The 13,028-nt window shown below is 46.9% G+C and overlaps 2 annotated features.

Annotated features, from left to right (window-relative positions):
* Window positions 11,697-11,878: a silencer, noted in NCBI's record as "fragment chr2:48008525-48008706 (GRCh37/hg19 assembly coordinates)". NCBI's record gives its function as "represses an EF-1alpha promoter that drives an FKBP-Casp9 reporter gene in an ReSE screen in K562 erythroleukemia cells {active_cell/tissue: K562}" and the evidence as "EXISTENCE:reporter gene assay evidence [ECO:0000049][PMID:32094911]".
* Window positions 12,829-12,898: an enhancer, noted in NCBI's record as "active region_15741". NCBI's record gives its function as "activates an Ori minimal core promoter by ATAC-STARR-seq in GM12878 lymphoblastoid cells {active_cell/tissue: GM12878}" and the evidence as "EXISTENCE:reporter gene assay evidence [ECO:0000049][PMID:35858748]".

Consider the following 13,028-nt stretch of genomic DNA (forward strand, 5'->3'; position numbering starts at 1 on the left):
TGAGCCAAGATCGCACCACTGCATTCCACTGGGTGACAAAGTGAGACCCTGTCTCAAATCAAAAACAAAAACAGTTACACAGCACAGAGTGCCAAAGAGGCATGTCCCACCTCCCACCCCAGGGCCTAAGGAAACCCACCTGCTGGCCCTTTCCTCTGAGAACTGCAGAGCCCAGAATCCTGTGGGATGCGCAGGCAGTCTTCCCAAGGGCCCTCCTGTATCAGCCGGCTTTTCACACTCTTTGTCTGTGTACTTGGTGCTAGACGCCTCACTGCCCATGCCAGCTTGGTTAGAACTCACCCTGCAGTCTCTGTGTATGGCCCAGGGCCCTGTAGAACTCTGAAGGCCCCACACGTGGTCCCTAGGATGCTCACCTCCCTTCTGCCCTCCCATATCCACTCACCCTGCAATGGTGTTGGGAAGTGGGACCTTTTGGGAGGCGTTTAGGCCATGAGGGCTTGGCCCTCCTGGATGGATCAATGATGATTGGATTTTTTTTTTTTTTTTGAGACGGAGTCTCACTCTGTCGCCCAGGCTGGAGAGCAGTGGCGTGATCTCGGCTCACTGCAAGCTCTGCCTCCTGGGTTCATGCCATTCTCCTGCCTCAGCCTCCCGAGTAGCTGGGACTACAGGCGCCCGCCACCATGCCCAGCTAATTTTTTGTATTTTTAGTAGAGACGGGGTTTCACCCTGTTAGCCAGGATGGTCTTGATCTCCTGACCTCATGATCCACCTGCCTCGACCTCCCAAAGTGCTGGGATTACAGGTGTGAGCCACTGCACCCAGCTATGATTGGATTATAAAAGGGCTTGACAGAGGGAATTCATCTCTTTTTGCTCTTCCACATTCCTTCATGTGAGGACAGTGTTCCTCCCTTGTGGAGGATGCAGTGTTCCAGGCACCATCTCAGAAGCAGAGATTGGACCTTCACCACACAATAAACCTGCTGCTGCCTTGACTTTGAACTTACCAGCCTCCAGAACTGTGAGGGATACATTTTAGCTCTTTATAAATTACTTAGTCTGTGGTATTCTGTCACAGTAGCATAAAATGGACTAAGACATAGTGGCCTAAAATAATAATATTTATTGTTGTGCATAATTCTGTAGGTTGGCTTTACGGTTCCTCTGGTCTCAGGTTGGTTTGTTTGTTTTTTTGAGATGGAGTCTCCCTCTGTCACCCAGGCCGGAGTGCAGTGGCGTGGTCTCGGCTCACTGCAACCTCCGCCTCCCAAGCTCAGGTGATTCTTGTTCCTCAGGCTCCCTAGTAGCTGGGACTACAGGTGCCTGCCACCACACCTGACTAATTTTTTGTTTTTGTTTTTTTGATACAGAGTCTCATTCTGTCACCCAGGCTGGAGTGCAGTGGTGCAATCTCAGCTCACTGCAACCTCCGCCTCCAAGGTTCAGGCGATTCTGGTAATTTTTGTATTTTTTAGTAGAGACGGGGTTTTGCCATGTTGGCCAGGCTGGTCTGGAACTCCTGGCCTCAAGTGATCCTCCTTCTTCAGCTTCCCAAAGTGCTGGGATCACAGGTGTGAGCTACCACACCCAGCTGTCAGGTTTCTTATTTATGTGTCTCAGCTGCAGGTCAGGCAGATGGCTCTGCTGATCTTGGTTGGGCTCCTTCACACATCTGAGGGTCAGCTACTCTGGATGTGCTCTGCTAGGCTGACTCAGATCTCCTCCACATTCCTCTCCCATTCCTCATCCTTCCAGCAGACTAGCTGGTGTGCTCTCATGACAGTGGCAGGAGGCCAAGAAAAAACAAGCCCAATTGTGTGGGAAGGCAAGAGGAAGCTCCCATGTGCTTTTCAAACCTCTGCTAACATCTTATTGGCCAAAGCAAGTCACATGGTGAGCCAGAGACAAAGTGGGAGGGACTTACAAAATTACAGGAAGAAAGAAGGCTATTGAATTGGGGGCCATTAAGGCGATGAGCTTGCCATAAGGGCTAAATATACACAGGCATTGTTCTTGAGTGTTGAGTGTACAGTGGTAAACAAGCCTTTAACACCTGAAGTGCAGTGGAGAAGAGCAATACATAAATAACTAAGCAAAATTAGGAAGTTGATTCCATGAACTTGTGGACCAAGTGATTGGTGCACAGATGAGAGTAACAAGTGAGGCTGGGCCGGGTAGCTCACGCCTGTATTCCCAGCACTTTGGGAGGCCAAGGCGGTGGATCACATGAGGTCAGGATTTGCAGACCAGCCTGGCCAACATGGTGAAACCCCGTCTCTACTACAAATAGAAAAATTAGCTGGGCATAGTGGTGGGTGCCTGTAATCCCAGCTACTAGGGAGGCTTAGGCAGGAGAATCACTTTAACCCAGGAGGCGGAGGTTGCAGTGAGCCAAGATTGTGCCACTGCACTCCAGCCTGGTCGACAGAGTGAGACTGTGCCTCAAAAAAAAAAAAAAAAAAAAAAAAAGGGAGCAACAAGGGAGACTTACTTTAGATTGCCGAAGACGTGAAGGATGAGAAGGAGCCAGCAATGTAAAGTCGGGGACAGAGAGCACTGGACAGAGGGCAAAGCCAGTGCAGAGGCTCTGAGATGGGAAAGAGGCTCTGAGCCTGGCCAGAGTACCATGAATGAGGAAAGTGAAGGCATAAAATAAGACTGGAGAAGTAACAGGGACCAGCAGTAAGGCGTTTGGATTGTATTCCTTATGTGATGGGTGGGAATCCACTGGGAAGTTCTAATGGGAGAGGCAAGTGACACCATCTGATGTGTGCTCTGGCTGTTGTACAGAAGATGGATGAAGGCTGGGTGTGGTGGCTCATACTTGTAATCCTAGCACTTTGGAAGGCCAAGGTTGGAGGATCGCTTGAGCCCAGGAGTTCGAGATCAGCCTGGGCAACATAGTGAGACCCTGCTTCTACAAAGAATTTAAAACCTAGCCAGGCATGGTGGCTTGTGCCTGTAGTGCCACTACTTGGGAGGCTGAGACAGGAGGAATGCTTGAGCCAGGAGTTTGAGGCTATAGTGAGCTATGATTGCACCAGCCTAGGCAACAGAGTGTGACCACATCTCTAAAAAAAATTAAAGATTAAAAAAAGAGCCAGGCGTGGTGGCTCATGCCTGTAATCCCAGCACTTGGGGAGGCCGAAGTGGGTGGATCACTTAAGGTCAGGAGTTCGAGACCATCCTGGTGAAACCAACATGGTGAAACCCCATCTCTACTAAAAATAGAAAAATACAATCCCAGCTACTTGGGAGGCTGAGGCAGAAGAACTGCTTGAACCCAGGAGGCAGAAGTTGTAGTGAGCCGAGATCGCGCCATTGCAATCCAGCCTGGGCAACAAGAGCAAAACTTAGTCTCAAGAGGAAAAAAAAAAAAAGGAAATGGAGGAATGTTAGGAAGATGATAGCAAAAGCAGAGATCCATATTAGGAGGATTCTGTGAGTAATGGGGAGAAGAAGAGGAGACAGTTTTGTTCCATGTGTGGAGGTGGAACTGGCAGACATTGCTGAGGCTTTGCATGTGAAGGGCAAGGGAGAGGAGGTATCAAGTCTGACTACTTGAGCAACTGGATGAATAGAGGTGTGTCACTCCCTAAAATGGAGAAGATGGTGGAGGACAGATTAGAGGAGGGGAGATCAAGAGTTCATCTTAAGGGCAGGTGCAGTAGCTCACACCTGTAATCCTAGCACTTTGGGAGACCTAGGTGGGTGGATGGCTTGAGCCCAGAAATTTGAGACCAGCCTGGGCAACCTGATGAAACCCTGTCTCTACAAAAAATATAAAAACTAGCCAGGAGTGGTGGCATGCAGCTGTGGTCCCAGCTACTTGGGAGGTTGTGGTGGGAGGATTGCTTGAGCCTGGGAGGCAGAGATTGCAGTGCACTGAGATTTTGCCAATGCACTCCAGCCTGGATGACAGAGTGAGACCCTGCCTCAAAAAAAAAAAAAAAAAAAAAGAGTTCAGCTTAGAATATGTTAAGTTTGAGATGCCAGAGAGATAACCAGGCATTGGATCTAGGGGGGTCTGGAACTACCTTCCCCGTCCATGTCATTTGACGTTGGGTCTTGCAAAGAAGGAAACTAGTTGGGTGGGGCAGAATTCATGACATAATGGATTGGTGGGGGTAGTCCAGCAAGGTAAGGGCTTGAAAACGTCTTGATGAGCTGTTAGTCTTGATAGGTAAACTGTTTAGTTAGTTTACAAACTTCTCTTTCAGGAGCAGATATTTCCTGGAGCAAGCAGGCAAATTATTTTTGTTTGGTCTTAAGTGTTATTTAACACAGGGAGAAGAAAGTTTGTTCATTTCAGTTCTTTTTTTTTTTTTTTTTTTTTTTTTGAGACAGAGTCTCGCTCTGTTGCCCAGGCTAGAGTGCAATGGCGTGATCTCGGCTCACTGCAACCTCTGCCTCTGGGGTTCAAGCAATTCTCATGCCTCAGCCTCCTGAGTAGCTGGGATTACAGGTGCGCACCACCACGTCTGGCTAATTTTTGTATTTTTTTTTTTTTTAATAGAAATGGGGTTTCGCCATGTTGGCCAGGCTGGTCTTGAACTCCTGACCTCAAGCGACCCACCCACCTTGGCCTCCCAAAGTGCTGGGATTACAGGCCTGAGCCAACGTGCCCGGCCTCATTTCAGTTCCAAGCTTCATTAACTAAGTGTTCTCAGGCAAGAATCTTTCCTTCAGGCAAGCACCCTTTAATAATAAAAATAATGATTATACAGTGCTTACTCTATGTCCAACAGCTCTGAGCACTTTATGGGCATTATCTCATTTAATTCACACAACAACTCCGTGAGATGAGTACTATTATGTGCCCAATGTCATAGATGTGCCTAAGCACAGACAGGTTAAGTAATCCACTCAAGGTCACACAACTAGTAAGTGGGAAATCTGGGCCCCTACATCCAAACTCTGAATCCCTCCCTCCCTCACTTAGCTGCTTAACTTCTCATTTTCTCCTTATATTGAAGGGGTTGGCCCAGAGGATAAGGGATGTTGGGGAAAAGCTTTTCCTCTATCCTCTTAAGTTCAAGTACTGGATATTTGCAAATTGAAGTGACAAAAGACAGATTTGCAAATTTGTTTATGCATGCAATGCCCATATGCACAGGAGTGCTCTGTGATGCACAGCTCAAAGGGCTGGTTAAAATTTGTGGCTTATACACTGTAGTAGGAGAAGTTGAAGGGGCAAGACAAGGCTCCTATGGGAAGAATGCATAGGTTTCTTTATGAAACACAAGTGAGTTTTTAGGAAAACAAACTGGAGATAAAGTTTGTGATAACATTTGCTTATGCAGGGGCCTGTGGTCTTTCTATTATATCTTCATAGCCATGAAACTCCCCTGGAGAGGGAATCTGAAGTAGGTTTACTCTTGGTCTCTTTCCTGGTAGCTTCTGGAAGAAGAAATACATAGCAGTCTTCATTTCTCAAAGGTTTCTGCTTTTCTTATAAAAATTAGCCTGCACTTGGCTGGGCATGGTGAATCACTCCTGTAATCCCAGCACTTGGCAGGCCGAGGCAGGTGGATCACTTGAGGCCAGGAGTTTGAGACCAGCCTGACCAACATGGCAAAATTCCATCTCTACTAAAAATACCAAAAATGAGATGGGTGTGGTGGTGGGCGCCTATAATCCCAGCTGCTCGGGAGGCTGAGGCAGGAGAATCGCTTGATCCTGGGAGGCAGAGGTTGCAGTGAGCCGAGATCACACCACTGCACTCCAGCCTGGGTGATGGAGTGAGACTCTCTCTCAAATAAACAAACAAACAAAAATTAGTCTGCACCTGTACCTCTGGCTATTGGGGGTGGAGGTGGGGTGCCGAAGTGGGAGGATGGCTTGAGCCTAGGAAGTCGAGACTGCAATGAGCAATGATTGTGCCACTGCACTCTAGCCTGGATGATGGCAAGACCCTGTCTCAAAAAAAAAAAAAAGTTTCTTCTGCTTTTAGTCAGATTTAGGAAGCTCTGAGAAGGCTTCTTTCTGCATCTGTTGAATCTCAAATGTCTTCAGCCTAAAATAATCTTTATACACCAAATCAGGGATTCTGAGTGGTTCCCCACAGGGCTTATCCAGTTCCATCATACTTTGGCTCATTGTGAAATGGCAAAGGGGGCAAAAGCAGCCTGAGGGGAAGGGAAAGATTTATATTTATAGTGCATACATTAGACGCCTGGCAGCAGTTTTCACTTCATCTCATTCCATCCTCCCAATACCTCCATAAGCAAATATTAGTGAATCCCCATTTATCAGATTAGGAGACCAAGGCTCAAGTGCAAAAAATTTACCCAGGGTGCCCAACCTGTACCTGAGGTTGCCAGGATTGAGAACAGGTCTGCGTGGCCTCAGAGCAGGGCTGATCCCAGAACAGTGAATGCAGAGGGCAGGAATGGCCAGTCAGTTGGGAAGCAAGACTGGGGCCAGACTTTGGAGATCAGAGGCTGAGACCATATTAGAAAAGTACCTGGCAATTCCACCTAGGATGGCTTTGGAGAGCTAGAGAAATACTGGTGCTAGCCCTCCCCATCTCTCTATCCCCCAGGGCCATTTGTGGTCTGAGATAATGAAAGTTTCCAGCCAGTTAGTCGAGGTGGCTCATGTCTGTATTCCCAGCATTTTGGGAGGCTGAGGTGGGAGGACTGCTTGAGCTCAGGAGTTTGAGACCAGCTTGGGCAACATAGGGAGACCCCATCTCTACAAAAAAAATTTTAAAAATTAGCCAGGCATGGTAGTAGCATGCCTGTAGTCCCAGCTATTCTAGAGGCTGAGGCAGGAGGACTGCTTGAGACCAGGAGGTTGAGACTGCAATGAGCCATGTTCGCACCACTGGTGACAGAGCCAGACCCTGGCTCAAAAAATAAAATAATAATGGATGTTAGTCACAGGATGGAGAAGATAGCTGGAGTGGGGGAAGGGAGTGCCTCCAGGCTATGGAAGCCCTCAGGCCCATCTTTCCTCTCTCCAAGTGGACTCTGGGTCTGTCTTCCCCAGCCATCCTCCCAGAGCCTCCACCACACCTTTGGTACTTAGGGGAGTACACAAGAGGCTTTGATTTCTGTACCCTTGCTGACCAAAGGCAGAGTGCAAGTGCTATTTCTTTCCACCTGACTTGCACAAAGTTTCTCCCCTCCTTTTTCCTGAGAATTGAGAAAGTTAAAATAAGCAAGGAATGAGAAATCTGAAACATTCCAGGCCATTCATCTGGCTGGGATAACAAAGATAAAGTCAGCTACAAAGTTAAACAGGAAACACAATCTGTCCCAAGGATAAACTGCCATCCCAAAGTAGCATAAGGAAAACTTTTTTTTACTCTTGACAATCTCAGAAATCTTGTTCTCTAAAGTCATAGGCTTTCAGAAACTTTGCTGGCTGAAATTATTGTTATTATTTATTTATTTAGAGACAGGGTCTCAGTCTGTCACCCAAGCTGGAATGCAATGGTGCGATCACGGTTCACTGCAGCCTCGGCCTCACGGGTTCAAGTGATTCTTCCACAACATCGCCAGTAGTTGAGACTATAGGCATGCATCACCATGCCCAGCTGGTTTATTTTTAATTTTTGTGTTTTTTTTTTTTGTAGAGAAAGGGTCTCACTCTGCTGCCTAGGCTGGTCTTGTACTCCTGGGCTCAAGGAATCCTCCCACCTCGGCCTCCCAAACTGTTGAGATTACAGGCGTAAGCCACCTCCCCTTGCCTTGCTGTTTGAAATTATATCAGCAAAAATGAAACATCCCACTCTTGCCTGGAGCGTCTTACTTTGACACAGAAACAGCTTTGATTTACAACCCAGGTGTGTAACTTTAGATACGGGATTTGTGGACGCTATTCCACATCTATCTTAACTTTGCTGTTTCCAAGGAAATGCGACCTTGGGTGGACTTTGTAGTTTAGCTTTGTCTTTACACACAGCTAGATTTGAGCTTTCAAAACACTGTTTCAGGTAAATTTATCCTAAACTCCACCCTCTCCCTCCCTTTTGTAGTTTGGTGAGACACCCCCATGGTTCGTCTGCTGTGGAGGCTCCCCCGTTGCAACCAGCAAAACAAACCCTGACTTTGGCAGACTACAGGCTTGTCCCTGGTGATCGTGAGCTGCTTGGGCTAGGACGGAACCCTCACAAAACATGCCCCTCCTTTCTTCATCCTTGACTTTATCTCCCAAGGCCCAGGACAAAGACGTAGATTGCTGGGTCACGCTGTTCCTTGGACGGGCAAAGGGGGGAACACAGGGCACTGTATTCTTCTGGAGAATACTTGTTTTCTTCTTCTGTTTTGTGTGTGTGTGTGTGTTGTTTTTGTTTTTTTTTTCTGAGACAGGGTCTCAAGGTAGGAGTGCAGTGGCCTGATCATAGCTCACTGCAACCTCAAGCTCCTGGGATCAAGCAATCTTCCTGCCTTGAGCCTCCCGAGTAGAGAGTAGTTAGGACTATAGGCACGTGCCACCACTCCTGGCTAAATTTTTTAAATGTTTTTGTAGAGAAGGAGGCGGTTCTCACTATGTTGCTAGCTGGTCTTGAACTCCTGGCCTCAAGTCATCCTTCTGTCTTGGCCTCCCAAAGTGTTGGGATTGTAAGTGTGAGCCACTGTCCCTGGCCAGTTGGTGATTTATTTGTATAACTGTCCAATTTATTGAATACGTATGGCGTGCCAAGCACTGGGCTGAGGGCTTCATAATGCCCTTTCACTCAATGCTTAGCACAACCCATGAAGAAGGTAGTGTTAATATCATCCCTGTTTTACAGATGTAGAAACTGAGGCACAGGCTAAATAACTTGCCCAACAAGCTCGTGCAGTTTAGTAAGCAGCTCAGCTGGGATGTGAACACAAACTTTGAATACAGAGCTCTTAACCAGTAGGCCAGAGGTTCCCAAACACCTAGTATATTTACTACCTTAGTACTTTCCTGCCACATCTCCTAGGCCAAAACAACTCCATTGATTGTTATGCAATTTACTAAGTGTAGCCATTTGAAAAAAAAATACATATAAAAGAAAAATATTTTTATTCAGTTTTCAAAATAACCCATATATAGTCATGGAATGTATGTGTTGGTTGGGCACTGCAGACTAAAGACAGTTTAGGGCCGGGCACGGTGGCTCAGGCCTGTAATCCTAGCACTTTGGGAGGCCAAGTAGAGAGAAGGGCTTGAGCCCAAGAGTTGGAGACCGGCCTGGGCAACATAGCAAGACCCAGTCTCTACAGAAAATAAAATTATCAGGGTGTGAGGACGCACACCTGCAGTCTTAGCTGCTTGGGAGGCTGAGGCTGGAGGATCAGCCTGGGCAACAGAGTGAGACCCTGTCTCAGAAAAAAAAAAAAAAAAAGACAGACTTTTATTCAGATATGCATGCAGGAGTTCACAGAAAAAAAAAGTGAGTCCAGGAGGCTGTTATTTGGCATTTATACAACTTTTTTTTTCTTGAATCTCGAAATCTACTTTATATATACCATTTAATAGGGGAAGAGGAGGGAGAAAAAGCCTTCCATGGGAAGAACAAATAGGTTTCTGGGGGAACAAAAGGGAGATAAGAATGTTTGTTTTTGCAGGTGCAAGTGGTCTTTGTCTTTTTTTCTGGCCACTAAAACTCCCCTAGAGAGGAGATTTACGGCAGCTTCACTCCCAGAAATTTCTGCTGTTAGTCGCATAAGGGAAGCTTTGAAACGGCATCTTTCTGCATCTGTTGGCTCTCAAATGTCTTCAGTTCCAAGTAACATTCATGCCAATTCTGGGGGTCTGAGTGTCCCCACATAATACATGTGTTCTCTTGTCTTTTAATGAAGTTTGTGGGAGGCATCTAACTGTAGCCTCCAAAATTTGGCCCATAGGTACTACTGTCCTTATCAAAGACGAGGAAACAAGTTCAGAAAAGTATTAATTGCTCCGAGTTATCTGCTTGGCTAGCTAGGATCAGAGCTCAGTTCTCCATTTAACCCAAAGCCCAGGCTCTTAACCTCTTACAACTGGCGCATCCCCTCTGAACCTCCATTTCCTCCCTGTAAAAGAATAACATCGGCCGGGCGCAGTGGCTCACATCTATAATCCCAGCACTTTGGGAGGCAGAGATGGGCGGATCACGAGGTCAGGAGTTTGAGACCAGCCTGGCCAACATGGTGAAACCCCATCTCTACTAAAAATACAAAACTTAGCTGGGTGTGTTGGTGCCTGTAACCCCAGCTACTCAGGAGACTGAGGCAGGAGAATTGCCTTAACCTGGGAGGCGGAGGTTGTGGTGAGCCAAGATCGTGCCATTGCACTCCAGCCTCGGTGACAGAGCAAGACTCCATCCCCAAAAAAACAAACAACAACAACAAAAAGAGAATAACGTTATATTCAGTTGAACCAAAATGAATTAAATATTAATATTTGTACTTCAAAAACGGTCCAGCTTGGCTGGGCGCAGTGGCTCCCGCCTGTAATCCCAACATTTTGGGAGGCCGAGGCAGGAGGATCATTTGAGGTCAGGAGTTTGAGACCAGCCTGGCCAACATGGTGAAATCCTGTCTCTACTAAAAATACAAAAATTAGCTGGGCAGTAGTAGCGCGTGCCGGTAATCCCAGCTATTCAGGAGGCTGAGGAAGGAGAATTGCTTGAGCTTGGGAGGTGAAAGTTGTGGTGAGCTGAGACTGCACTACTGCACACCAGTCTGGGAGACAGAGTAAGACCCTGTCTCAAAACAAAACAACCAAAAAACCAAAAAGGTCCAGCTTGGGCAACATAGTGAAACTTCGTCTCTACAGAAAATTTTTAAAATACTAGCAGGGCACCGGGCACAGTGGCTCATACCTGTAATCCCAGCACTTTGGGAGGCTGAGGCAGGCGGGTCACTTGTGGTCAGGAGTTTGGGATCAGGCAGGCCAACATGGTGAAACCGTGTCTCTACTAAAAAACAAAAATTAGCTGGGCATGGTGGTAGGCACCAGTAATCCTAGCACTCAGGAGGCTGAGGCATGAGAATTGCCTGAACCCGCAAAGCAGGGGTTGCAGTGAACCAAGATGGCGTCACTGTACTCCAGCCTGGGTGACAGAATAAGACTCCTCAATTAAAAAAAAAAAAAATTAGCTGGGCATGGTGTTGCGGGCCTGTGGTCCCAGGTACTCAGGAGGCTGAGGTGAGAGGATTACTTAAGCCTGGGAGGTTGAGGCTACAGTAAGCCAAGATCACGCCACTATACTCCAGCCTCTGTGACAGAGCCAGACCCTGTCTCAAAAAAATTTTAAAAAGGGCAAATTTTGGCAATTTCACATAGTTCAACCTAGTATAAGGTGGTTGTAATAACTAAATGAGATAAAATGGTGTTAAATTGGAAGTATTATAGTATTTCTGTTAACAACATAGGGCTCCAGAACCAGCTTCCTTGAGTTTAAATCCAGGCTCCACCACTTCCTAGCTATGCAGTCATGGGCAAGTTACTTGACCCAACTGTGCCTCAGCTTCATCCATGATATGGAGATACAGGATAACCAGCCTCTTACGTGCAATTCTGAAATCCAAAAAGCTCTGTAAACCAAAAGTTTGGGGGTAAACTCATTTGGTAGCAAATTTTGACCTGAGGCTATTTATAGTCTATATTCTGTATTCTTTCTACTTAGTATGAATAAGCATGTAAGTTTTACTGCATGTTTGATTTCAGCATGTTCCCCCAGACTCTCTGGGGGTGTTTACGTATGCCGGTGGGGGAAAGAGACCAACTCTCAAATATTATCTCAAACAGTTGGTTTCACTGTGCTTGCTTGGGTAGCACATATACCAAAATTGGAATGACCCCTGCACAGGGATGAAATGCAAATTCGTGAAGCATACTGTATTTTTCTTAGCACATACCACCTTTGGCAATATTCTTTTTTTTTTTTTGAGAGGGAGTCTTGCTCTGTCGCCCAGGCTGGAGTGCAGAGGCGCGATCTCGGCTCACTGCAAGCTCCGCCTCCCGGGTTCACACCATTCTCCTACCTCAGCCTCCCCAGTAGCTGGGACTACAGGCGTGTGCTACCACGCCAGGCTAATTTTTTGTATTTTTAGTAGAGGCGGGGTTTCACTGTGTTAGCCAGGATGGTCTCGATCTCCTGACCTCGTGATCCGCCCACCTCCGCCCCCCCCCCGAAGTGCCGAGTGCTGGGACTACAGGCGTGAGCCACTGCGCCCGGCCCCCGCCTTTTTTTTTTAGATTGATTTTATTACTTGCCTAGCAAAGGAGAACCTTCTGGCAGAACAGTCTCCAAGAACAAGGCAAACAACTAATTTTACATAGGTTTTTACCAATGTACAGCTGTTGATTGTGACTGGTTTCCGGCAATCTGGATTTCACAATCTGGATAAGGGGACAAACAATTGTCTGTCTTCCACTATCTTTCTTGAATTTGAATAGAACCTTTTTATTCTCATAGCCTCTTAGCTTTCTTTCTTTTTTTTTTGAGACGGAGTTTCGCTCTTGTCGCCCAGGCTGGAGTGCAGTGGCGCGACCTTGGCTCACTGCAAACGCTGCCTCCCAGGTTCAAGTTATTCTCCTGCCTCAGCCTCCCAAGTAGCTGGGATTACAGGCGCATGCCACCACGCCCGGCTAATTTTTGGATTTTTAGTAGAGACGGGGGTTTCACCATGTTGACTAGGCTGGTCTTCAACGCCTGACCTCAGGTGATCCGCCCGCCTCGGCATCCCAAAGTGCTGGGATTACAGGCGTGAGCCACTGCGCCCGGCCTCTCATAGTCTCTTAGCTTTCTAAAATTTGAAAAATCCTGTAAAGACACACCTGGGTCAAAGGGCTCAGATAACGGACTGTGGCCCTTAAGTACTTACGTCACAGGTTATTGAGAGGATCGATTTAGTTACCAGATGTAAAATGCTGGGATCAGTGCCTGGCAAAGGAAAACTTTGTACAGCTGCAGGCTTTCACCATACACAACAGCATCGCTAACGAATGCTATTACAATATTCATTTAGCGTTTACCAAGTGCCTACTCTATACAAATCTTGAGAATACAACGTGAAGGTGAACTGCTGACTAAAGTTTGGTCCCTTTCGCTCCGTCTCCTTGCGAAAATGCTCTAACGGCAGGAGGTCACGCGAG

The sequence above is a fragment of the Homo sapiens genome, chromosome 2 (genome assembly GCF_000001405.40).
Source record: "Homo sapiens chromosome 2, GRCh38.p14 Primary Assembly".
NCBI classification, from domain to species: Eukaryota; Metazoa; Chordata; class Mammalia; order Primates; family Hominidae; genus Homo; species Homo sapiens.